Source organism: Homo sapiens, chromosome 5 (genome assembly GCF_000001405.40).
Source record: "Homo sapiens chromosome 5, GRCh38.p14 Primary Assembly".
Taxonomy (NCBI): Eukaryota; Metazoa; Chordata; class Mammalia; order Primates; family Hominidae; genus Homo; species Homo sapiens.
Window position 1 is genome coordinate 6,309,786 of NC_000005.10, and position 27,796 is coordinate 6,337,581.

The 27,796-nt window shown below is 46.5% G+C and overlaps 1 long non-coding RNA gene across 1 annotated transcript, besides 1 other annotated feature; it reads right to left on the minus strand.

The window, feature by feature from the left end:
* Nucleotides 1–655: 655 nt before the first annotated feature.
* Nucleotides 656–27,507, minus strand: LINC02145 (long intergenic non-protein coding RNA 2145). The gene is made up of 2 exons (NR_028351.1): nucleotides 27,365–27,507; nucleotides 656–2,931 (listed from the first exon to the last, which is right to left on the minus strand). It is a non-coding gene; the product is annotated as a long intergenic non-protein coding RNA 2145 (long non-coding RNA).
* Nucleotides 5,946–6,171: a silencer, noted in NCBI's record as "fragment chr5:6315844-6316069 (GRCh37/hg19 assembly coordinates)". NCBI's record gives its function as "represses an EF-1alpha promoter that drives an FKBP-Casp9 reporter gene in an ReSE screen in K562 erythroleukemia cells {active_cell/tissue: K562}" and the evidence as "EXISTENCE:reporter gene assay evidence [ECO:0000049][PMID:32094911]".
* Nucleotides 27,508–27,796: the final 289 nt, after the last annotated feature.

Here is a 27,796-nt window from a genome sequence, read left to right on the forward strand (position 1 = left end):
CAGAGTTGCCAGGCAAATGCAAGATGCCTAGTTACATCTGGATTCCAGATAAACAAAAAATAACTTTAATAAACACATCTTACACAATTTTGGGAAAAGTTCAAATGTAATTGGGAATCCTATATTTTTATTTGTTAAATCTGGCAATGATGCCCCTTACCAAGACCATATTCTTTCTATTGTCCCACCTCCTTCTCCTGTTCATTAATCTGAGGGAGGGAAGATAAAAGCAAATTCATTGAATATTTCCACAAACTCAGATTCTCAATCATGAGGACTGGAGGAGAAAGACTGGGTCTTGGATGATGAGACCACCTCTAGCTGCCTGTGAGCAGTTCTATGGTGAAGGGTAGCACATGTGCATGGGGCCTGGAGGAGGGATGACCTGACCTTAGATAACCGTCTTTCATTCATTCATTCATTCATTCATTCATACTTCAACAGACAGCTATGAAGTACTGTTGACCCTTGAACAACGTGGATTTGAACCCTGTGGATCCACATCTATGTGAATTTTCTTCTGACTCTGCCATCCCTGGGATAGCAATACTAAGCCCTCCTTTTCTACCTCCTCTTTAGCTCACTCAACATGAAGATAATAAGGACGATGACCCTTTGATGACCCACTTCCACTTAATGAATGGTAAATATTTTTCTTTCTTACGATTTTTTATTAGCAATTTATTTTCTTTAGCTTGCCTTATTGTAAAAATACAGCGTATAACACATATAGTATACAGAATATGTGTTATCTTCTGTTTAAATTATCAGTAAGGTTCCTGGTCAACAGAGGCTATCGGTACTTAAGTTTTGGGGGAATCAAAAGTTATACTCAAATTTTCTACTGCAAGGTAGGTCTGAGTCCCTAACCTCTGCACTGTTCACAGGTCAACTGTGCTCCCTTTGTGCCAGACAGGGGATATGCTGAAAGTAACAACAAAGAAAGTCAATGACTTCGTTAGGATGCCATGGAGTGTTGAAGTCTTGACTCCAAGGACTTCAGAATGTGATCTTATTTGGAAAGAAGGTCCCAACAGAGATAATCAAGGTAAAATCAGGCCTAATGGCCTCAGGGTTTGGGCCCTAACCAATATGTCTGGTGTCCTTAAAACAAGGGGAAACGTGGGCACCATCATACACAGAGAGAAGATGATGTGACAATGCAGAGAGAAGACGGCCATGTGAAGATGGAGGATTAGAGTGCACAGTGTGGAAACAAGCCAAGGGACCTCTGTGGCCAACAGAAACTGGGAGAGGGCCAGGCGTGGTGGCTGATGCCTGTAATCCTAGCACTTTGGGAGGCCGAGGCAGGCAGATGATTTGAGGTCAGGAGTTTGAGACAAGCCTGGCCAACCTGGTGAAACCCCACCTCTACTAAAAATACAAAAATTAGCCAGGCGTGGTGTTGGGCGCCTGTAGTCACAGCTACTCAGGAGGCTAAGGCAGGAGAATCACTTGAACCCAGGAGGCGGAGGCTGCAGTGAGTCGAGATCATGCCATTGCACTCCAGCCTGGGCAACAGAGAGAGGCACAGGACAGATCCTCCCTAGAGTCTTAAGGGAGCCTTAGGGAGAGAGATGGGACAGATCCTCCCCTGAGGGCACCTTCATCTTGGACTTCTGGCCTCCAGAACTGTAGGACCCACCTAATCTATGTTTTGTCACAGTAGCCCTAGGAAATGAATACACACAGTCATCTACTCAAACCCTAAAGGTGGGAAGAATAACGACGGCTGGGCACTATGAAGGGAGGTGTGCAGTGCTACAGGTTCATATCAGAGGGTCTTTCCTGGCCAGGAGACTCAGAGACCTGCCTCTGAGGAAGCCACACTTGCATTGGGAGAGAAGCAAAGCCTGTGGGCAAATAGGCAGAGGAGCTTGGGAGCAGGAGGCCCTGGGAACCCGAGGGGGGCAGGTGATCTGTCCGCATGCAGGCTATGGACATGATTAGTGGCATGAAATCCAGGCCTTGACTCTAATGGTTAGATTTGCCCATCAGCAAAAATCTTCCCAGAGGCAATCCTATGAGGATAAGATCTGTAAATACAGGGCTGATGAGATTAAGGCAACTCCTCAAAATCTCATCAGGAAGCAAGTGATGCAGATGGAACTAATAAAAGATTAAATGCAATCTTGAAACCTGTAATGCATAATGCTGTAATTGCGGAGGCCTTTGGAGAATGATAGGAATATTTTAAACAAAGGAAGGAGAGGGAGGAGTGCATTCATGCCCTTCAGCACTGTCTGGGAGGATGGATGTCCCAATTTTAGAGGTCCCCTCCCAGGTCTTTTTCTGGAAATAGCCCCAGAGTCGAAAAGAACAATGCATCTTGCTACCACAGCACATCGGAAGCATCCCTTCAGAATATCCACTTCTCTTTGCTCCAATTTTATGCTCACTAAGCAACCTTCTGAGTTGTAATTTGGTGTTCTGACTAGGTGATTTTTTTTCCAGGCCCTGAGCCAGGACTATTCTGGGGGCCTGCGTTCAGGCTGTGCAGGGACAAGGCAGATATGAGAAGGCCAGGCTCTGACACCAGGCAGCACCACATGAGCCAGAAAAAAAGGGGGGGTTCAAGACTGGGTCAGCTCAGAAGAGCAGGGGAGTGCAATGTCCCTAGAAGACGGGTCCCTCCAGCCTGGCAGGCAGCACTGGGAGGCTCGGCTGAGCGGCCGATCCATCTTGGGCACGTGTACATGTTCCATGTGTCTTGAGAGAGCAGGCAGAGGAACCCCAGGAGAGGGGAAACCTGATAGAAGGCAAGGCCAATGTCTTCAGTCAAGAAGGATGTGGCTGTTGCAGGGCCCATAGGAATGAGATCATGTAGCATTTGTCCTTCTCGTTTCTTCTTGCACTTGGCATAACATCCTCCAGGGCCATCTACGTTGTTGGATGGAGGATTTTCTTCCTTTTTAAAGCAAAGAGGTAGATCTAGAGTGTTCTCACCACACACACACACACACACACACACACACACACACAGAGAGAGAGAGAGAGAGAGACAAAAGTAACTGTGATGTAATGGACATGTCAATTAGCTTAATTGTGGTGATGTTTTGTAATGTACACATATATCAAAACATCAAGTTGTACACCCTAAATATACACAATTCCTATTTCTTAATTATAACTCAGTAAAGAAGAAAATAAAAGGATGTGGCCAGTGTGTAGCTGGCCCAGAAGGCAACATTGGTCTCTGCCCAGCCCTGTGATACACCTTTGAGGCTGACTCTGTGACACCCCATCCCCCACCGCCAAAGCCTCTCCACCTTTGGTAACCGGAGTATCTGGCCCTGACGCTTGGTATAGACGTGTTTCTTACTTAAAGTTCAGTTAGTGGTGGACACCCATTGAGGATTCGATGAAGAAAGGTGAAAAGTGATTTTGGATTATATTTCTCTGCAGGTTTTCTTGTTTTCCCTTAAGCCAAGGCCCACTGATGTTCACAGTAAGTACACAGGTTGGAAAATATATCATAAATCAGGACAAATTGAGAACTATCCTACAAGACCCAGCCAGAAGACTATCTGATTTACTGAACTTCTTGTCCAATGTTAGAGAAGGTAGTTGTGTCAATTAGTAATATGGTAAATTTAAAATTTGTGGTCACAAACTTGGAAACTCAAAAATGGATGGTTCTAACTCTATAATGGAATTCAGTGGAATTTACACTCTGTTTAGAGCTCTTCATTTACCCAATTCCATGCATCTCATTCAGCCCCATGTCCGTCCTTCCCATGTGATTGACACATTTAGGGAAATTACAAATCATGGTGTCATGGAAGGGGAATGCTTTAGTATGAATATTTTGGGTCCTGGCCAACATCCATGGTGAGAAATTGATTCTACCTGTTCCCTCTTCACCAATGGCAGAAGCATTCTCAAGTGCTCCTAGGACCTCTGATGCTCTCTCCTGGGGGCGCTAAAATCCTCTGATGCTCCTTCCTGGGGGTTCCCACATCCTCTGATTCTCCCTCCCGGGGACTCCCACATCATTTGTCCTCCCTCTTGGGGGCCCCACATCCTCTGATGCTCCCTCCTGGGGGCCCCACATCATTTGTCCTCCCTCTTGGGTGCTCCCACATCCTTTGATGCTCCCTCCTGGGGGACCCACATCCTCTGATGCTCCCTCCTGGGGGCCCCACATCCTCTGATGCTCACTCCTGGGGGCCCCACATCCTCTGATGCTCCCTCCTGGGGGCCCCACATCCTCTGATGCTCACTCCTGGGGGTTCCACATCCTCTGATGCTCCCTTCTGGGGGTTTGACATACTCTGATACTCCCTCCTAGGTGCTCCCATATCCTTTGTTCCTCCTCTGTGGCTGCTCTCACATCCTCTAGTGCTCTTTTGTGGATGCTTCAGGACCTCTGGTTCTCCCTCATGGGTGTTCCCACATCCTCGGGTGCTCCCACATCTTCTAATGCTCCTTTGTGGGTGCTCTCAGTAGCTATTCTCCATCAGCCCCTGTGTCTTTCGTGGGGCAGATGTTGTTCGTGAACTTTCAGGAGCTCCTCTGTGCTCAATTCTGAGATCATGAGAGCCAGGATGGGGGGTGCGGGGAATGCTGTCCCCCGCTCTGCTGAAACCACCTTGTCCAATGGGGGTTGCCCCATATCGATGTGGGAACTGGGCAGTCATTTCCCCCTGCTTTCCCCCTGAGCTCTCTCAGGGGTCCCCTTCAGGGAGAGATGAAGCTACAAGCTGGGGACCACCAGGGTTGCCAGGAGCCACCAGCAGCTGGAGGAGACGAGGAAGGATCCTCCTCTGGAGGCTTTGGAGGGGGCACAACCTTGCTGGCACCTTGACTTCAGACCTCTGGCTTCCAGAATTGTGAGCAAATAAATTTCTGATGTTTACGTCCTGCAGTTTGTAGTAATTCAATGTGACAGCCCAGGAAACTAATATAAGTATATGGTGGTCACCTTTCCCATTCCTCTCAACAGACTTCTGATGTTCAGACATCTCACCCCTCCTCCTCTCTGAAAGTAACAAAAGATAAAATGAATAAGAATGGAAATGGAACCTCTGTAGAGAATGACCCGAGTTTCATGAAGAAGAGCAGCTTAGGTTGAGCAAGCCAACCTGGAGGAGGGGACACCAGCCCTTGCAGACCTATGACATGGTCAGCAAAGCCAAGGATGTCAGGAGGGACCACTCCTGGATGAAGGGGTGAGCAGGAGCGTGGATGGGCTGCAGAGCCCCCAGAGTCCCCAGCCCTTTGTGCTGGCCTAAAGTGCAAAAGGAAGTCAGCTGATCCAGGAGACAGGCAGGGACACCCCTTTTGTTCCAGTTCTCCTGCCTTCTGGTTTCTTCTCATAGAGATTATCTCCTGTTTGTATGTGGGTCCACAGACCCTGGAATACAGCCTGATGCAGAGTAGGTGCTCAGCGAAAGCTATGAAATGAACAGATGGCAAGAAAATTCCTCAGGAAGGAAGGGGCTTCATGAAAATGTCCTCTATGGAGCAAATATTTAAAATTAAGATAAAAGAAGAGCTCAAGATAAATATCATAAAACAACAGCGGGAGTTGGAAAAAATGAAGAAGAGCCAAATAGTAGCAGAGAAGCTGCCCCAGCTATGGAAAAGGAAGTCCCCACAAACAGATAGATGGGCACTGCTGGAAATACACTCAGAGACTGAGAGAGTTTTAAAAGAAAGAAAAGTGAGGTGGAAAGGACTAAATGTTAAAAGATGGCAAGAGTATACCAAAGATTGAAGACAAAGAAAATTCATTCCTCTTAATTGCCAAACTCAAAACTCCACCTCTATCCATATGTGCTCGGTCCCTCTTAATTGCTTCCTCTTCTGGGGAAACAAACGTAACCATGAGTGGACGCCCTAAGCTCCCAGGCCCTGCCCATCGCGTGTTCTCCTCCTGTTGGGAGTGGACACCCCTCCTGGCCACCCATCCCCACCTTCCTCCTGCTCCTGCTGAGCTGGACCTCAGCCTCTCCCACCATCGACTCCACTCCCGGGGGTGGCCAGTGCTGGCCAGCTATGGTGCACTTTGATTTCCCACAAATGTCCTGCCCCTCATGTGTCCGTGGACTGTGCCAGAGAATGAGGTGGGGGAGCAAAGGCCAGGGCTCAGGATGGGGGAGTCAAAGCCCAGGATGGAAACAGGTGGGTGAACAGGAATTTTTTTCACAACAAGGACACATCCAGGGAAGGGAGTCAGGGCCAGCAGCAAGGCTGCTGTGATGTGGCCTCTGGAGATTAGGATGGGGCATCCCCTTATCTCTCCTGTGAAAGGGGCCATATTGGCCTCAGAGCCTGGACAAGCTCGAGCCTACAGGTCAGGATTAATGGGGGTCTTGTCAGTGTATCCTACAACATTCTGGCTTGTAACTCAGTCCCCCTGCATAGGACATGTTTAATCAATGAACCAAAAACTGGGTGATGGGCTAGGGAGCAGGAGGGGACATCTTCAGTGGTGACTTTCCTCCACTGTGCATTGGGAGTTGCTGCCATCTCCTCAGTGGCCTGGAGTCCCTGTCCCCACGGACACATCAGCAAAGGGTCCTGTACCTTGGCCTGGAGCCTCCTGAGAAATAAAGACCAAACGGAAGCCTCGCCTTTTCTTCCACTCTGGAGAAGCTTTTGAGACCCCCAGGAGGGCCTTGGGCTCTAAATTCATTAACTCTGAAAGGGGCCCCAGATCCTAACCCTAATTCCTGCCTCCTGGCCCAAAGGGCCCTTCTGATGCCTTAAGTATGTGGGATCCTGATCCCAAGTACAGTATCTCCCTAAATAAAAGAGCTAATCTACCTTAAAAAGGTTGGCAACTAAGCTGTGCAAGCTTGGAATAGAGATATGCCTCTCCTCCCTCTTACACATGTTTGCCCATCTCCTTGGAGAGGCATGTTGGTTTTGAAAATGTTTGCACTGAGGTCTGTGGGCTGCAGCAAGGCACAGTGCAAGGTGCACACCACTTTCCTCTTGGAGCTCAAAATAGTCAGATACAAGTCTCTCTGTCAGGAAGACTGGCTGCCCTGCCTTCCTCGACCCAGAAAGGGACCATGGCCCAGTAGGCACCTTAGCACCACCCCTGGGTCTGCACTTCTCTCTAACTGCCACTTCTGGGAAAATCTGCCACCCGCTACAGCAGCGGAGACAGGAGATTGGTAAACCAAACCCTGGCATCCCGTGCTTTCAACCCAGATCCCCAGCAAATGTATCCTCTGATAGACAGCTCATTAGTGTCCCCTCCCCTCCCACTCCCCAATCCCCAGGCACATGGAGTCCAAACACCGACCTGCTATGTAGCTAGAAGAAGGAGGAGGAGGAGGAACAGGATGGGGGAGAAGAAGAGGAGGAGGAGGAGACAAGAGTGAGTAGACAGCTTAGTTTAAAATAATAAAACCACCTAGAGCCCTTTGATTGGTCAGGACTAAGCTATCTCAATATGCAGTAGGAAGCTATGCTTGATCAAATGGTATGAAAAATGGCTCAGCAGCATCTGCAAGGTGGAGCCCTCAGCAATCACAGTTATGGGCTTGCCCAGCCCTCTGCTGACGTGGGCAGCCACTTTCTTAGATTAAAATGTGCTGGTCTGTGGAGAGCAACTGGGTGGGCAGTAACACTGAAGCCTGGCTCTTTTGAATTCTCTGTCCATCCTCCCCTTCTGATTGTGACTCACATACAGAAGTGTGTGGCGAAACAGGCAAAATGCAAGACTGGCACTTTCACGTTTATCTAGAGGCTTTGCATTGGGAGCTTGGCAACTCCATCCTGTGACCCAAGCCAGGGAGCTGTCTAGCCCTGGGAAAGTGGCTGAAGGCTGCATTCTCCTCACCTACTCCAGGATGCTGTGGCATGCCTCTCTAAGCCCAAGGAGAAACAGTGTGTGCAGTGGTGAAGTCATCACTATACTATTATTGTCCTAAACTTACAACCTCTTGATTTATTCCTCCCGCATTCATAGAAAGAATAGAGCAATTTCAATATTGCTATAAATTCTTCTGCTCTCATAGAAGGGTTTAATCAAGCCACTTCCATCTGTTCTTTCTCCCAAGATGGCAACAAAATCATTTTCTGCCTATAAGAAATAACTTTGGAGGAAAGTCCTGGATACATTCAAAATACACCAGAAAGTTCTCAAAGTTAGATTTGTTAGTTTCTGAGATTGTGAGCTGTTCTGAATCCTGCAGTCCTGGCAGAGGGGACCAAATGCTCACCAAGAACCTGAGACTCTCCACACTTCACCAAGCCCGGAGTGCACTCTGCACCAGATTTGATAACTGGCCTCTGGAGAGGGCAGGGTGGGAAGGAATCAGCCCAGGCACTGTAGGCGTTCTGGGGGAACGTTGCTCCATCAAAGAACTGTGGGTGCATGGGGAAAAGTGCTTCTCCTAGAGCTCTCCATCGCAGTCCAGTGAGATGCTCTGAGCAAGGAGTCTGCCTGTGGAGCCCCTCACACCACACCTTCTCTCTCACTCTTGACACCCACAGCGCAGTCAGCACACAATGGCTCTGACATAGGGATAGGGAGGCGGACCTTGGTAAACATACTTCCTTTGGAATTGCATCGCTGTTCTAGACTCAAGGGAGGCCCTGTGTGTGTCTGGATCAAAGCTTATCTTCCTCTAAGACTCCTGTATTTCCTTTTCTATTTAACGAACAACTGGCTGGGCACGGTGGCTCAGGCCTGTAATCCCAACACTTTGGAAGGCCAAGGCTGTTGGATCACTTGAGGTCAGAAGTTCGAGACCAGCCTGGCTAACATGGTGAAACCCTGTCCTACCAAAAATATAAAAAATTAGCCAGGTGTGCTGGTACACACCTGTAATGCCAGCTACTTGGGAGGCTGAGGCAGGAGAATCACTTGAACCCGGGAGGCGAAAGTTGCAATGAGCCGAGATGGTGCCACTGCACTCCAGCCTGGGTGACAGAGTGAGACTCCGTCTCAAAAAAAAAAAAAAAAAAACAAAAAAATCTGCATTCCCTTTGTCCAAGAATATTTCAGCTCTGCTTTACCCCTTGCTATGATCTGAATGTTCATGTGCCTATGTTGAAATTCTAAGCTGCAAGGTGATGGTATTAAGACATGGGGACTTTGGAAGGTGGTTAGGTCATGAGGGTGGAGCTCTTATAAATGGGATTAATGTCCATAAAAGAAGCCCTAGGGAGACCCTCACTGCTTCTGCCCTTGAGAAGACAACCATCTATGAGGAAGTGGGTCCTCACCAGACACCAAGTCTGCCAGCACATTAATTTTGGACTTTCCAGCTTGCAGAACTGTGAGAAAGAAATTTCTGTTGTGTATATGCCACCCAGTCTATGGTATATCATTACAGCAGCCAAGGCTAAGACACATCTAAATGTTACTTATCTAAACAACAATACTTTTCTGGCCAGTGGATGTCAGACAGGAGATGGAACCTGAGCGATCACCTTGGTGCTGAAATGCCTGCTCCACCCTCAACACTCAATGCACACTGGCAGAGAACGGCAAGATGCTGGACACACACACAAAGCAAACACCTCTCGGTATAAAGTGAAGGTTCCAGGAATGAGCTGTCTGCCCGTCTCTCCCTGTGTTTCCTGCCGGCTGCATCACCGGATGTTGGCGGGTATGGAATTGGGAAGGAATGAAAGCGGGGAGGGGATCAGGGCATTGGCAGGACAGGGAAGCAGTGTTCCTTCTTTACTTAGAATGTTCTTTTTTGAGCCAAACCAAAGATGAAAACTTTCTCAGCTCCTGGAGTCCCAAGAGACAAAAATAAAATATTCTAAAGCTGGTCTGTGTCTTCCTTTAGTTACCCAGAACCCACGGGGCCACCTGTGACAGATGGTGGCATTGATCCAGGGTGTAATTGATCAGGTTTGGCAAGAGCAGTAGAAGAAACTGGGATGCTGACAGAAGAGAAGCTTAGATGATTTGCATATACTGCTCTTCCATCATATAGAAGACAAAAGTGAGCCCCCAGTGATTGGGCTCCAGGTGTCTCTTGTTGGGACCCTATGTGGTCTGCTCCTTGCTGGATAACTGCAGTTGCATGGCAGCCCTGCTTCACAAAAATCCAGGGTAAATTGCATTCCTCCTACACGTCATCACACAGAAATACAACCTAAGTAAGCACACATTTTCTAAAACCCTAAAGAGGGCTCACACCTTCTGGATAAGCAACTAATCCTGAGAATGTCACTCACTCTGCTTATTGATAGCCAGTGATTGCCAAGTTTTCTGCCTCCAGAATGGATCAATTCCAGCTGTCTCATGTGTGAGTGCCTTTGCTGACAGTGCTTTTTGTATTAACTAATACATCCTTGGAAAGGGTCCCAAGTGGGAGAAAGAGCATCACACTGACGTGCACCCTCTTAAAATAAATAATCATCAGGAGAGGATTTCATATTAACAATCTGAAAACTCACAGTTTTCAATAGTGTTTCTTCAGTATTCAGGGTCGCTCCTTTTTTCCTTCTTTTATTTTTCCTTCTTCTTTTTTTTATTTTATTTATTTATTTATTGTACAACAAAGTGTCTCACAGATTCTCTATTGCTTAGAGGGAGAAAACATGGCCCTTTTAACACACTGATTTCTTTCATGGCTGTGCAATTTCTTTGCAGTTTATGAATAATTTTTGTCCACAGGTTTTGCAGCAAATATTAGTTACAGTGTAATCAGATGGATAGAGCCAGGGTTAGAAAAACAAATCCTTTCAATTATTTTCACAGCTTCATCACAGACCTTGTGATTTTTCAGCAATCTGTGAGCCTGTATGTCTAAAGGTCAAACTATTCTGAAGCAAAGAAATAGGAAATTCACAAATTCAGAAACTGTTTATGCATTATAGTTGCCTCCCAAATCTAATTGCAGGACTAGATGACTTCTTCCCAAATGCACACAGTCCTTACTTTTTTAATGTGTGGTGTATTCCTCAGCTCAGGCTGCCATAACGAATACCGTAGACTGGATAGCTTCGACAAGAGAAATGCATTTCCTCCGAGTTCAGGGGGCTGGAAGTCTAAGGTCAGGGTGCCAGCGTGGTCAGGTTTTGGGGAGGTTCTTGCAGACAGCCACCTTCTCTCTATGACCCTGCATGGCTTTCCTCCAAGTCTGTGCAGGGAGAGTGCAAAAGATCTCTCTCTCTTCCTCTGCTTATAAGGCCACTAATCCCTGTGGATTGGGACCCCACCCTTATGCCCTCATTTAACTTTAATTACCCTAAAAACTGTATATCCAAATATAGTCAATTTGGAGTTAGGCCTTCAAAATATGAATTTGGGAGGACACAAGTCAGTCCGTAGCAAATGGCCACTTCATGTAACGTCTAGTGCTTTGAGCTGAGTAACTTAAAGCACTGGGCATTATATAACATATAAGCATGTATGTATCTGGAAGGGATGAGAATATAATAGTCATTTGATGGGAATTCCATGGAGAAGGAGTTGGAGTATCATGTGGCATCGTGGAGGCACATAGCAGAAGGCATTGAGCAGACCTTCAGGAATCAATAGGATTGCAGCAGGCAGGATGGGGGTGGGGTGGGTACCCAGAGCTGTGAGAAAGTGCAGCATCACCATGAGTGAGAGAAGTTCACAGGGAGCACACATGCCCTTGAGTGCTGAGCTAAGGACCTGGAAAAGAACCACTGTGAATTCTGCAGCTATGGAAACCCTGGGGCTGCCTGTGGTCAGAGAGGGGCTTCAAGATCAGTGATTTTCCAGCAGCTGGGAGAATGGACTGGAACAGATACCCCCTGAACCGTTCTGACAGCCCAGATTAGAAGGGGGAAGGTGGAGGAAAGGCACAGACAATTCAGAAGAAGAAAAAAAAGCGGTATGTGTGAACCACTTCTTTTTTAAATTGAAAATGAAAATAGCTTTATGGAGGTGTCCAATGGGGATAGAAATGTATCCCCTTAAAATCAGGTTACCTAATCCATGGAAGGGCAGAATATCACAGAGAAAATTAAAATGGGTTTTAATCATGGAAAGTAAACATCTGAGCATATTTGACAAGTCTCAGCACAGAGCCAGCTTTCTCCAAGCTAAGCCTGATAGAGGATCTGGTGTCTTCCCTGGTCCCTCACCCATCTGGCCCATCCCAGACTGAGAGAAGCACCTGCAGCTGCCCCTGCCAGGGACTCCCTGCTTCACGTGAAACCACCTGGCTCTCAGCACTGCAGGGCTTGGACGCGCTAGCTTTCTGACACACAGGGAGTCAGCAGATGTACTACCAATGCTCACAATTATTTCCAAACAAGCCTGCAGGCAAGGACTCTCAATAACTACGGGCCATCATAGGAAAGGAAATCTGCCCATACAAAACCAACACAGGTGCACCAATCTCACAGTGGAAGCACAGTCTCGCAGTGGGAGCACAGTCTCGCAGTGGGAGCACAGTCTCTCAGTAGGAACACAGTCTTGCAGTGGGAGCACTATTTGACAGTTGGAGCACAGTCTCACAGTGGGAACAGTCTCACAATGGGAGCACTATTTCACAGTAGGAGCACAGTCTCGCAGTGGGAGCACAGTCTCGCAGTGGGAGCACTATTTCACAGTAGGAGCACTATTTCACAGTAGGAGCACAGTCTCGTGGTGGGAGCACAGTCTCGCGGTGGGAGCACACTCTCATGGTGGGAGTGCTATCTTGCAGTGGGAGCGCTATCTCACAAGTGGGAGCGCTATCTTGCAAGTGGGAGCAATATCTCACAGTGGGAGCACAGTCTTGCGGTGGGAGCGCAGTCTCGCGGTGGGAGCGCTGTCTCGCGGTGGGAGTGCTGTCTCGCGGTGGGAGCCCTATCTCACAGTGGGAGCGCTATCTCGTCATAGTGGGAGCACTATCTCATCATAGTGGGAGCACATTCTCACAGTGGGAGTGCTCTCTCACAGTGTGAGCACTATCTCGTCATAGTGGGAGCACATTCTCACAGTGGGAGCGCTCTCTCACAGTGTGAGCACTATCTCGTCATAGTGGGAGCACTATCTCAGAGTGGGAGCACATTCTCACAGTGGCAGCACAGTCTCACAGTGGCAGCACAGTCTCACAGTGGGAGTATTATCTTGCAGTAGAAGCACACTGAGCACACTGTGTAGCTGTTCACAGTTGTTTCCTCACCCTGACTCCCCACGCCAAACCCCCAGAACCGGTTCACACTCACCAAGAGATCTTTATTTTAACTTGAAGAATCCTTCATTTACTTAGAAATAGAAAGGCCCCTTCAGGGATACACCAGGAGGCCTATCATATCTGTAATGGGTGGAGCAGAGAGATTGGAATGGCCTTGAAGAGCAGAAGCTCCCAGGCTGGGTCCTGCTAGAACCTGCTCAGCGCGTCTCCAGGAGCAGCACACACAGCATGCCAGTCAGGACGGGTGTGGGAAAGATGGCAGAGAAGAAGAGGCAGCCAGAGAGAAGCCAGCCGTTCAATGAAAGTCCTAACTGGTGGTTTGGCCCTCCCTTCCCAGTGGCAAGAGGATGCCTGTTGTAAAATGGATGTGAAGCCTGGCACCATTAACCATCCAGCTCAACCAGCTTTAAATCCTAGGCCCTACAAATGAACTTCAAATTTTCAGCTTCCCACAGAGGATCTCACCACCTTCAAACCACCCAGGCTCTGTGCCAGCCATACTGGAGTTTTCACTGTAAATTAAGTACATGGGCCTTCTGGTATTATACATCAGTATTTCTAGCTTAGCTAATGCGAATCTACCTCTAAAATATGGAGACACTCTCAGAGTGCTAACCAAGCTAGCTGTCCGATCCTGGCAGGCTTCTTGGCAAACTGAATACCTGGCCAGGAGAAAGGCCAGGTGACTGTGTCCCCACTTGGCTGCAGGGATGAGAGCAGTGTGATTTCTGATTTCTCCTTGAGATGCCCCACATAGTTCTGCTCCTGGGCTTCAAAAAAGATGATATCTAGTGAATGATTCCTCCAGCATTTGGATGGGAAATGGGCCAAGGGCTCTTCTCCCTACTGAGCTCTTTTCTACCCACTGAAACATCCCCCAGCCAAAACTGCACCAGAAAGCCCAAGATTCTGGAGATGCCATCCTGGAGAAGGTATTCAAAGGAGTAGGAGACTTCTCAAAAGCTAAACAAAACTTCCAACTTATCTCTGCCAGAGTAGGGTACATCAAATGGCCAAATCCACCGCTTTGCAGTCTCCCAGTAAGAGGCAGATCCTCTGAAACAATCATAGGCACAGATCCTTGCATTTTTTAGAAGTCACAGAATTAAGATTTTTCTGCATCTCGATGATTCAGACACTTTAGAATTTGATATTGGCATAGAAACTAGGAATCATAAAATAAATTTTTAAAAAATTGTCATTTAATAAACATATTATGTGTCAACCAGAGCATAAAGAAACAGGCAAACAAATAGGAGTGTAAATGTTTGCATGATACATAGGGAACAATTTAGCAATAGCTGTTAACTATTGAAAACATTTGCTTTTGGGTCTAGCCATCTTACCTCTAGGAATTTTTTGAGATATTTTCAAGGTTCACAAAGAAACAATAGACCATTTTAGCATAGTTTATCATGATAAAAAACACAAATGTGCAATAATCAAGTTTGGTGCATCCATGCAATGGAATATTATTAATAAATGTCCTGTATACTGACATGAAAACCTATCCAAGGGGAATTAAGTGAATAAATGCAAGTTGAGCAAACAATGTGCATCATTCGCATATGTTGGTAGAAGCATGAAATGTTCTGGTTTGATTCACTATTCAAAGAGGTTGTCTCTGAGGACTGGCACTACAGGGCATTCCTTTCTAGAGAACATATTGGTGTGCATGGAGGTTAGGAGAACAGACTCACCCCAGCAACACCATATTTTGACCTTGGGCAATGCCAGGTTCTGGGTCTACCTGAGCACAGCCCTACTTCACAGAGTGCAGCAGGGCTCACATGAACTCACATACATGAGGCACATAAAATAGTGCCTGGTACATAGTAAACATTGTATGAGTGCTCTTATCTTGACCACTGCTATTGAGCCCCCACATGAAGGTTTTTGCAATCATAACCACCTTGGTGTTCTTATGCCATTTAAAAAAAAATAAGACTTCAGGGCTGCAGGCGGTGGCTCACGCCTGTCATCCCAGCACTTTGGAGGCTGAGGCAGGCAGATCACTTGAGGTCAGGAGTTCAAGCCAAGCCTAACCAGCATGGTGAAACCCCATCTCTACTAAAAATACAAAAGTTAGCTGGGCAGTAGTGGTACAAGCCTGTATTCCCAGCTACTCTGGAGGCTGAGACAGGAGAATCTCTTGAACCCGGGAGGCAGAGGTTGGCTGCAGTGGCCCGAGATTGTGGCACCGCACTCCAGCCTGGGTGACAGAGCGAGACTCCGTCTCAAAAAAAAAAAAAAAAGACTTCAGTTAGTAATAGAATGTTTTTTAAATCAGCAAGATGATGATGTAAGTAATGGTTATTTAAATCAAATCTCAAAATACTGGAATTATGTCATCCTTGAAGAAGACAAGAGGAGATCTGGGGGTTCCAAGAGGAAGTGCCCCTTCACCTGCAAGATGGTCACCTTAGAGAAATCTCAGTGCCTGGGGTGGGTATGAACTGAAAACTCCTAGCCAAGAAGGACGGAAGACCTTGGTATTAGGAAGGTTTAGATTAGGAAGGTTTAGATTTTGAGATTTTTAGATTTTGAGATGACATCCAAGCATGCAAGCAAAAAAAGTCTCTTTTGCTTTTATCTAAGTCATACCATGAAGCTGGCCAGGGTGATTCTCTGACTCCTGGAATGGCAGACCTGGTAAGCAGCTCTATATCCCCTTTCACACCCACCACTACAAAGCTTAAGCCCAATTCTCTGTTCAACCGCAGCAAGTGTGGGGGGCACTGTATCCTGTATGTCTTTATTTTAGTTTATCCACCAACCTTGTCTCCAGGGTCTGATTTGCATCTTGTTTGGCTATTGTATATTTTTGTTTTTATTTCGTATTTCTAAATCACCTGTTCTTTCTGCAAACTGTATCAAATCTTTATCACGCATTTCCTGCTTACTCCCTAAAGATCGTCTGCCCTTCCCACGTCTTCGCCGATCAGTCCCCACTTTCCAGCCTGCACAAGTGCCTTGGAGCCCTACCCTTTGGATGCAGCCAAAGCCATTCCTAGCAGCCCTTGAGGGTTCTAACAACACAACTGTGGAGTCAGAGGTGGGTGCTCCTTTTTCTCACCTCTCGAAAGGTAGGGAATGCAGCATCAGGAAAAACACATAGTAGGCACTATGGAAGGGATGTGGAAGGAGGGTGTGAGAAATGAACTCTGAATGAATGGAGGCTACTAAGCTGCTCTAAGTGTCTTCCTCCTCTCCACTGGGACACTTCACTGACCAGATTTCCTTCTCCTTCCCTGGAGGAAGTCCTGTCTCCTGGGATCCCAAGGCTTCATCCAGGGACAGCTACATGTAAATCAGGAAGAGAAATCTGCTGTGGAAAAGGTCTCCATTGACCAACTGCTCCTCTGGTCTCTGCCTGTCCAGCAGACAAGGTATGTGAAAAAGTGTGTGCAGTCTGAAACTTCACACTAGCAATAGCAGTGATCAGAGTAATGACAGGGATGGGAAAAGTAATAATAACAATAACAGGCACTCTAAATTTGAGTAGCATTTTGTAGCTTTCAGAAGTGCTTTCAAATGCATTTGCTGTTTTCTCCTATGCCTCCAGTGACCCTGTACATACCCAGATAATTACTACTGTGGCCACATCTTTAAGTTTCTGTGATTTTATATCAAGATTCAATTGTGTAGGGAAAAGGAAACTTTTTCATCATAGAAGGAGACATTTAATTCACTTCTGACCATTCCAGGAAGGGTAGGCACCTGACTTCGTGGCAAGGATGTGGACTGATGGTGTTGTCTGGATAGTGATCAGGCCACATACTCGTTGTCCACATCTGCAGGGGCCTTCTCAGTCCACATTCCTGGTGAAAATCAACATCGTGTGACTTTACAGATTCGTGAGTGCCAGGGAATGAGCGACCCTCTGTTGCTGTCACAATCTCATTTCTTTTCCTTCTCACTGGAATTTTAATCAGTCTGAGCATCAGTTAATGATTCTTTCTTATCCATTTGATTAAAATACAAAGTCATTGAGGCAGTAGCAAATTGCATTTTTTTTTCCTTGGCCCTTAGTGCACTGCAGTAATGAAATCCACGACTTCCCACCTCTGCCAGTGAAGAGTCAGCATGTACCGTGTGAAAGCCAGGAAGGCTCATCTGTCTCGTGAGTGATTTCCTTTCCTAAGGAAGGCCCTCCAAGGAGCCATGCATCTCTGGAACGGATCACCCATGCTGACAGAACTGAAGATTGAACCTCTAACTAACATGACTTGTGCAGGTGACAGGGAAATTGTTTGTAATATAACTTCATTTCTTTAAAAGCAGCTACGGATTTATACTTGGGTGAAATTATATCCCACATACTAATTTAATAAACTCCTCTAAGCTTACACAGAGTCTCTTCTTGGAAAAGGATGTGTTTCTGATCCACTGGCCAGTGCACTGAATGATTTCCCACTACAACCCAAGGGAGAGGGAGTAGTGAAGACTGAAAACTAGGCAAAGCCAATTCGTATTCTGATGAAACTTTACAAATGCTGCTTATGACAAAACCCAGTTGTAAAAACTAAAGGGTAAGGTGAACACCCAAACCCTGCCATTAAAATAACAAAGAAAGGGGCTCCCTGCTACCTTTGGTTAATCTTTTCCAGTGGAACCTTCTTGTCTTGTGTCTCATTACCTCAAGTCCCAAGATTTCCAACCCTGGGTAAAGACTGTCTCCTCAGGGCCAGGCACAGTGGCCCATGCCTGAAATCCCAGCAATTTGGGAGGCCGAGGCGGGTGGATCTCTTGAGGTCAGGAGTTCGAGACCAGCCTGGCCAACATGGTGAAACCCTGTCTCTACTAAAAATACAAAACTTAGCCGGGCATGGTGGCACATGCCTGTAGTCCCAGCTACTAAAGAGGCTGAGGCATGATAATTGCTTGAACCCAGGAGGCGGAGGTTGCAGAGAGCAGAGATCGTGCAACTGCCCTCCAGCCTGGGCGACAGAGCGAGACTCTGTCTCAAAAAAAAAAAAAAAAAAAGACTGTCTCCTCAGAGCTTGACAGTAGTTCTGCTAGTGAAAGTGATTTAGAGCAGCTGCTCGCAAGTGGGCAGAAGAGCCTGTGGCACACCTTTCTGACCCTTTCTCCTTTCCAAAGAGAAAAGAAGAGAGGTGACAAAGAATTGGAGAGGAACAAACTATCAGAGTAGACTTCTTGTTAGCAACATATTTTTTAAACCATTGTTATTTACTTTATAAAAGAATAACATGCGCTCACACACCTGATTTTATATTGATTCATTCAACAAATTTTATTTGTTCTACTTTGTATTAGGCACTGAAGATATATCAATAAGAGAAATGACAAAAAGTTATGTCTGCACAAGACTTTTCATTGTACTCTAAAACTGTGCCCTATTACCTGAAAAATAACCCAGTAGTTGTATTACACTTGTGTAGTAGGTCCTTAGGATGGATAACATGCCACATCCTCCTAGCTCAACCAACTTCAGCACTGCAGTGTCGGACAGCTCCATACACCTCTGCAAGGAATTCCAAGTCAGGCAGGGGCCACTTGTCTCTCTGCATTCCAAAGCAGCAGAAGGCTGCTAAGCTACACACAAACACAACCTGAAAAATCAATACCCTCCGGGGCAACCCACCACATGTGGGAGATGAGAACCCATGGATAAATTCCCCAGCATCCCACTCTCTGACTCCTTCACTGGGATCACCTCTCGCATAAACTATTTGTACCTTGCCGCAAAGTTTGCTCTGGGGAACCTAGAGCAAGGTACAAATAGTTTATGTGGGCTTGTTAGAACCCCAGATAAGCCAAGACAACTTGTAATAGCACAAGGATGCAATAAGTATGACACAAGTGAATTGTCACTGTAAAAGCAAATTTGGGGTGGTGGAACTGTATATAAACAAACTTCAGTGGTGTATTTGTGTGGTAGGGGTGTGAGTGAATCATAGTCAAATCATAGTTCATGCGACAATACACACTGAAGGATTAACAAAAATTATTAGAGAAACTATATTAGTAAGTCTGAAGCTGAATCAATAGCAGTTTATCATTAAATTTCAGAAGAACAGCCAATAAAAATATAGAACAGCCTAAGAAACATGAAAGAATGCAGCAATATGGTTTGGCTTTGTGCCTCCACCCAAATCTCAGGTTGAATTGTAATCCCTAGTGTTGGAGGAGGGGCCTAGCGGGAGGTGATTTGATCATGGAAGCAGATCTCCCCCTTGCTGTTCTCATGATAGTGAATAAGTTCTCACAAGATCTGGTTGTTTAAAAGAGTGTAGCACCTCCCTCTTCGTTCTCTTCCTCTGATCCAGTCATGTAAGATGTAACTCCTTCCTCTTCACCTTCCACCATGATTGAAAGGTGGCAGGCGAAGAGGAAGGAGTTACATCCTGAGGCCTCCCCAGCCATGCTACCTCTACAACCTGTGGAACTCAGTCAATTAAAACTCTTTTCTTTATAAATTACCTAGTCTCAGGTAGTTCTTTATAGGAATGCAAGAACAGACTAATACAGAAAATTGGTACCAAGAAGTGGGACATTGCTATAAAGTTACCTGAAAATGTGGATGCAGCTTTGGAACTGGGTAATGGGCAGAGGTTGGAACATTCTGAAGGGCTTATAAGAAGAAGATGAGGGAACATTGGGAACTTCCTAAAGACTTGTTGAATGGTTGTGACCAAAATGCTGACAGTGATATGGACAATAAAGTCCAGGCTGAGGTGGTCTCAGATGGAGATGAGGAACTTATTGGGAACTGGAATATAGGTCACTCTTGGTATGCTTTAACAAACAGACTGGCAGTGTTGTGCCCCTACTCTAGGGATCTGTGGAACTCTGAACTTGACAGCGATGATTTAGTGTAACTGGCATAAGAAATTTCTAAGCAGCAAAGCACTCAAGATGTGGCCTGGCTGCTTCTAACAGCCTAAGCTTGTACTCATGAGCAAAGAAATAATCTGAAACTGAAACTTACATTTAAAAGGGAAGCAGAGCATAAAAGTTTCCAACAATGTGGATAAACCATGTCACTTGAATTTATTGCCAGTATTTGAATATTGATATTCAAAATCATATAGTATTACAGATTTGCAGCCTGACTACATGGTAGAAAAGAAAAACCCATTTTGGAGGAGGAATTCAAGTCATCTGCAGAAATTTGCATAAGTAAAGTGGAGCCTAATGTTAATAGCCAAGACAATGGGGAAAATAACTGGAAGGCACTTCAGAGACCTTCACACAGCCCCTCCCATCACAGGCCCAGAGGCCTAGGAGGGAAGAATGGTTTCATGGGCCAGACCCAGGGCTCTGCTCCCCTGCACAACCTCAGGACACTGCTCCCTGCATCCCAGCTGCTCCAGCTCCAGCGGTGGCTAAAAGGGCCTCAGATATGTTTCAGAGGTGCTGCTCTGCTCCAAAGGGTGCAATCAAGAAGCCACAAAGGCTTTCACATGGCATTAAGCCTCCAGGTGTGCAGAGGGCAAGAATTGAGGCTTGGGAACCTCCACCTAGATTCCAGAGGATGTATGGAAATACCTGGTTGTCCAGCCAGAAGTCTGCTGCAGGGGCAGAGCCCTCATGGAGAACCCCTACTAGGACAGTGTGAAGGGGAAATGTGGGGTTGAAGCCCTCACACAGAGTCCCCACTGGGGTACTGCCTAGTGGAGCTGTGAAAAAAGGGCCACTGTCCTCCAGACCCCAGAATGGTAGATTGACAGCTTGCATGTGCCCTTGGAAAAGCACAGGCACTCAACACCAGCCCATAAAAGAAGCCTTGGGTGCTGTACCCTGCAAAGCCACAGGAGCAGAGCTTCCCAAGGCCTTGAGAGCCCACCCCTTGCATCAGTGTGGCCTGGGTATAAGACATGGAGTCAAAGGAGATTATTTTGGAGCTCTGAGATTTAATGACTGCCCTGCTGGGTTTCAGACTTGCATGGGGCCTGTAGCCTCTTTGTTTTGGCCAGTTTCTCACATTTGCAATGTGAACATTTATCCAATGCCTGTACCCCCATTTTCCATTGTATCTTGGAAGCAACTAACTTGTTTTTGATTTAAGAGGCTCATAGGCAGAAGGGTTTGCCTTGTCTCAGATGAGACTTTGGACTTGGATTTTTGAGTTAATGCTGGAATGAGCTAAGACTTTGAGAAACTGTTGGGAAGGCATGATTGTATTTTGAAATGTAAGAAGGACATGAGATTTGGGAGGGGCCAGGGACAGAATGATGGGGTTCAGCTCTGTGAACCAACCCAAATCTCATCTTGAATTGTAATCCCCAATGTTGGAGGAAGGGCCTGGTGGGAGGTGATTGGATTACGGGGGCAGATCTCCCTCTTGCTGTTCTCATGGTAGTAAGTTCTCATGAGAGTTGTTTGTTTAAAAGTATGTAGCACCTCCTGCTTTGCTCTTTTCTTCCTGTTACAGCCATGTAAGATGTGACTCCTTTCTTTTCACCTTCCACCATGATTGTAAGCTTCCTGAGGCCTCACCCACCATGCTTTCTGTACAGCCTGCAAAGCTGTGTGTCAATTAAACCTCTTTGCTTCATAAATTATTGTCTCAGGTAGTTCTTTATAGCCATGGGAAAACAAGCTAATACAAGCAGCATCCACCTTGGTTAATTCTTCTGCAGTAGGATCCTGACCATGGTGCCCAGGGGGATGTCAGACTTCTCAGGAGAACAAATTTATTTATTTATTTATTTGTTTGTTTTTGAGATGGGGTCTCACTCTATTGCCCAGGCTGGAGTGCAGTGGCACAATCATAGCTCACTACAGCTGACAACTTCTGGGCTCAATGGATCCCTCTGCCTCAGCCTCCTGAGTCGCTGGGACTATAGGAGGTACCACCTATATAGGCACCACCATACCTGGCTAATTTTTTTTTTATTTTTTAGAGACAGAATCTCACTATGTTGCCCAGGCTGGTCTCAAACCCTAGCCTCAAGTGATTCTCCTATCTTGGCCTCCCAGGTCATTGGGATTGCAGGTGTGAACCACCATGCTGAGCAGACATTTTAAAGAAACTTTAATTAGTCCTGAATAAACTAGGCAGAAGCCTCAGTATTTGGGTAAAGTCTGACATTTGATTCATATTAGGCCGTCAGAAGGAAACTGGACACGTACCTGTATCAGTGTCATCGCTGGATCACTAAACTTGTGAGTGTTCAGCACTCACATGGTCCAGAGACTGCCATCATATCCAATCAGCATAAAAATTCCAATAATGTGGACAAAGTATGTTACTTGGATTTATTGTCAATATCTGAATATTGATTGTCAAAATCATGTAAGTATTACAGATATGGCTTGGAGTGAAAATCTCCTAATGTTTTATGTATTAAAATTATTTTAACCAGTTGAGGTCTAAATTTGCATTTATTATCACAAAATATAATGCTGGCAGCATTAACTTCAGTAGTAGGGCCACCCAACTACCTTCACCACGAGAACTACATTAACACCTCCTCACACTGGCCATGCTCAAACCCTACCAGTGGGAAGGAGGCAAGCATTTTGCATTACTAGCATGCACACTAGGATGATCACAGAAGCAATCTATCATACTTACACTCCACCATCAGAAAATATAATGATCACATTTTTTAAAAAAATTCAAGTTTATTCTTTTATTCTAGAAATTTATCCTGTGAAGGTAACATGTAGCTGATGGTTGATTTTCAGCATTTGGTATGTTGTCATTGAGTGCATCTCTGATTTAAATGACAAATTTTATTGGTCCCTAATGACTTAGTAGTGTACTAGTGAGTAGGCCTTAATCACATGAAAAAATGAGTCTACCAAGTGGCCTTCCCCTCTTTGATAATGGCAAAGAAATGTCCCATGTTTGGGGATGGATGTCCAGCTCATGTGGCTGCCTACTGTCTACCTCTGGGCCACAGACCAGAGGCCAAGCATCGTTGTGTCCAGTGCCACCCAGGAAAGGTACTCATCTGCCTTTGTTCCAAGGAGGTCCTTTTTCTCAACAGTGTTTAAATAGTGCACACGTTTGTACATACCATAGAGCAGCAGTTCATATTGGCTGTAGATGTTGTGAAAACAATAGCCATTGAGTAGAGGCCAGGGATGTTGCCAAATATCCTACAATGCACAGAAGAGCACCCCCTCACACACACACTGCCACAACAGATAATTCTGACCCAAAATGTACATGGTGCCTAGATTGAGAAAACTTTGCACAAAAATAGTATCTTGGCCTGTCCGCCTCCTGCTCATGGGACTTCAGTTCAAAGAGAACTGAAATGCAGCTTTAATAAAAGCCTTTGTCTCTGAGCCATGAGTGTTGTGGAAACTGGGGCCAGCTGAGGTGTGTACTTGCAAGTAGGATAAAAACTCAGACCTGCATACTTCCCAACATCCCTCTACAGACAGCTGCAGCCTATTGGATCTGATCTATTGATGTCCACAACCTGGGATACCTAGATGTGCTAAAAGAGCAACTATAGCACGACAAGGCTTCCAGCTGGGTGAGCGGGAGGAAAACAAGAAAAGAGCTTTGTGTCCAGGGTACATCCACCCAGCCAGCCTCACATATCACATTTGCTGGGGATCTGGATGGTGGCAGGGCTCTCACAGCTGAGGAGCAGTCCACAGTGCAGGAAGGAATTCTGTTACAACTCACTCCAAAGCTGATAAACAGCCAGACAAAACTGAAGCTGTAGCTGCCCTGTGTGACTGCATCAGCCTGTGGAAGCCATCAAAACAATTCAATAACTCAATGACATAGTCCTAGTTCCAATTCATCTTTCTAGCAGGCATCTGTTTCTATTATATTTGAACTGTGCAGAGGAAATTGGATAAGGCATGCTAGCACGGGACACTGCAAGCTGCAGCAACCACATGCCCAGCAGCGGGAGCGGGAGGATAGAAGACAGGAGGAGAGAAGCCAGGTACTGAATCTCAATCAGAAGCAGCTTAAAGGTCAGACTCTGAAATTTCCTTCAGAGCCCATCAAAGCCTACCTGTAATTTCCACAACAAAGTAACCCAAAGCCATTTCTTGGTGACCCCCAGTGTCAGGGTACTCACCCCTCATTCACAGACAGACAGCCCTCAGTGGTAGAGTAACAGCATCAATTCTTCTCCCCATCTGTTTCCACTCACTGGCTCTGCCCAGCCAGCCAAGAGTCAAAGCCTTAGGCATTGGAGCATGGATTCATGGTCAGGTTCCACTCCTTGGTTGAAATTAAGGGTAACTTAAGTTCTATGGGTGGAACTGGCTGGAGGGAAGACAATAATTTGGCAAATGACAAGTGCTCCAAGGGGACCCGTGATACATTCTATCTAGGTCAGGGGTGGGCAAACCATTCCCCATGGGCCAAATGTGGCCACTTCCACTCACTGACCCATCTTCTGTGGCTGCTTTCACATTTCAATAGCAGAGCTGAGTAGCTGCAACAGGACCGCATGGCTGGCAAATATTTACTCTCTGGCCCCTTCCAGGAAAAGTGGCCAGCTCCTACTCTAGAGACCAGACTTCTAAGAAAAAAGTGAATCTTCAGGATGCAGATTTTCAGTAGCATACATGGGAGGACTTGAGAAAGAAAGGAACAGGCATGGAGATACTGAAGCCCCCTCTTCACAATGGTGAGTGACAGCTCATAGTCTCAGGAGTAATTGGTTGATAGAGGCAGACTCTAAGGCAATGAGATAGAAGGAAGAATATTTTTGATGAAGGGGCAGATGGAGGAACCTTTCCTAGTGTAGGAGAATCCCTCAGCAGAAGAGAAGCAGCGCCCATACCTGCATGGGGTGGAAAGAAAGGAGCAGGAGCCCCCAACAGCAACTAGGAGAACCACAGAGAAGCCAAAGAGAAGCTAAGAACTTGATCTTGTCTTGAATTTCTGTAGCATCTGAGACACTAGAGTTCAGTCCTGCATTAAGCTCAGGGTTTTCCAAACCAGTCAGTCCACACGGCCTTTCCACCTGGTAGCTGCCATTTCCATCCAGGCCCTGGAATTCATGAGGTTACCCTTTGGAGAATGCTGCATTCAACCTACCCACTCCCTTTACAGATTGGACAAACCCCCTTGACACCGTACCTCCGTGTGAACATCACACAGCAATTCATGGAAAGCGTGCACCCATTAGCAGGATGGGAGAGGCTGGAAACCAGCCCTGGCACATTCAAGATGCCCTCCTATGGGAGGAAGAATTGCAACAGCATTTTGTGCTCTGAATGCCCAGTCTATAGGAAGATGAACAGAATGTGCACTAAATATTTAGGCATCTGAGCTGTGGTAGCTCATGGCAGGAAGCCACGCTCACCTCCCAGGACCTGATTCTGCCATAATACACTGTCCCAGAACCACTATAGATCACCTCACCACTGGCTGAGGAAGACAAAGACAGGAGCTGAGTGTAGATGGGCAGCAGGCTCATCCTTGTCTCCCTTCTGCTGGCTGATGCACACCTTGTCCAGCTTGCTTAAGACACATGCTCCAACACCTGTCATTGTCAGGCATTAGATTCGTGGCCATGCCTGCTGTGCCCACCAAGCTGCCAGCACCACATGGCTGCTGCTCACTGGTGTGCGGTGTGTGCCCAGCCTGAGGGCCAGGCGAGCTCAGGACACAGACCTCCCAGTGCCAGCACATAGGAAGGCCCTGGTAGCTGGCCAGGGAGGCCTAAGCTCACTTCAGTCATCAGACACGAAGTTCCATTCTCTAAGGATATCATCTGGGAGGAGGTGAAGCCTTTCTGTCTTGAAGGTTGGGTCTACCTCCAGGTGTGAAGGAAGGACATTTCATATACAGGGGAAAGAGGTATTGGCCAAGAAATATGGAGCCCAGATTCAAAGGGGGACAGAGACCCCATCTCTTGATGGAAGGAGGGTCAAGGAATTTTAGAAACTTATTTTCCCCAAACTTCTAGAGTTGTTGACACCAGTTGTTTATTTGTCACATTGCTTATTTATTCACTTACTTATTCTTTAAAAGTTATTTTAAGCATAATTAAAGATATAATTCATCTCAGACTATTATCACGAGATTATTGTCTTATTATTACCTTCCACACTCCAAAGCCACCACCCTTGGATGACATAAATATCCAATGACTATTTATCAGAACCATAGGCATTTTTATCTACCTGTCACCTTGCAGGGTCAACATTTACAAACACGTCGTTATTACAGGAACACAGAATAAGATAATGATCTTATTATCAAGACCACAGATAATAATCGTGGCTCGTTGAAGCCCTTTGAACCCAACAGCTGTGGGCCCATCTGGAGCTAGTGGCCTTACTTCTCTAGATCAGATTTGCACACTTTGAAAACTGCAGCAGTTAGGAAGCTGCAGCATCCCACAGGGGGAAGCAGCTCAACAGCCAGAGCTGGGCTGAGAAGCGGGTATCTGGAAGCTTGCTCCTTAATGCCTCCTGAGGAAGCGCTGGGCACACACCTGGCACAGCCCACATGCAAGAGTTAGCACCACCCGCACACATAGTGCTCAGCTGTTCCTTTGGCAGCACTGTTGTTAGCAATGTGTGACCGCATTGGGAGGGGGTCTGAGTACCATGGAGGTGACTGAGATGCTCTGTACCTCTGTTACTTAGCACAGTGCAGGGCAGGAAGCAGGAAACTCAACAGATGTCTATTCAATGATTGATGGGCAGCTGCCAAGCAACTTCCAGAGTAGGGGGTCCCATGATGCAGATCCCTCCTCCCCACCCACTCCATGTCAGCCTTATTTCAGGCCTCACAACATCCCACTTGAAATATTAACTGAGCTCTTGGCCTCAGTCATCGTGTTCTCCTGTCACCACTGCACCATCTCAAAGTGGCCCTTCCTACCCCACTAGGCTTCCCACTGCCCCGCACACAGCCAAAGCCCTGCCCTCACAGCCTGGCCCTCCAGATGTCTGCAGCCTGGGCCCCATCTGTCTTCAGACTTCGCTTCCCATAAAGTTTCCTCATCTGGCTTTTGGTTTTGTTTCACAAATAAGCCACACACACATGCACACACAAAGAGGTACATGCACACACAAAGAGGTACATGCACACATGTGCAAACATCTGTGACCACAGACCCAGATGCCAGCACACACGTGCACACACACTCATGCTTCCAGGTGCAAATACACATACATACACACACACACACACACACACACCAGCTCCATACTTTAAACCTCTTTCCCCTGTATATGAAATGTCCTTCCTTCACACCTGGAGGTAGACCCAACCTTCAAGACAGAAAGGCTCCACCTCCTCCCAGATGATCTTCTTCCCAAGTTGCAATTGAGTTCTCCCTCCCCATTTCTCTATACAGCGGCAACAGACTCACCATCACGATACCATTGCCGTCTTCTCTCAATGCAGGTGCCGTCCATGCTGTGAGTCCCTGGAGAGCAGCAGGGATACTTTTTACAGCTTTTTCGATGCTCACTTACGGCCCCCAGCAGAGAGCACCTCAGCAGGTGCTCCAAGAACGATGTTGCCTTGGAAAGGTAGCGAGGCCCTGAAACACAGAGAATAAGGGCAAAGTCTGGGCTGCTCTCAGAGCCTCAGGGCCCTGCCACCCCAAAGTCCTAGGACAGGGAGCGTGTCCTCTAACTTTTCTCTCTCCCTGCACTTTATCTCCACCAGGAATTCTCAACCTTTTTTGTTCTAATAGAGCTCTCTTCAACCGCCTGAAAAAGTTCCTAATCCTTTTATAAAATATTGTCTTAAAATGCACATAATAGGCTGGGCACAGTGGCTCCTGCCTGTAATCCCA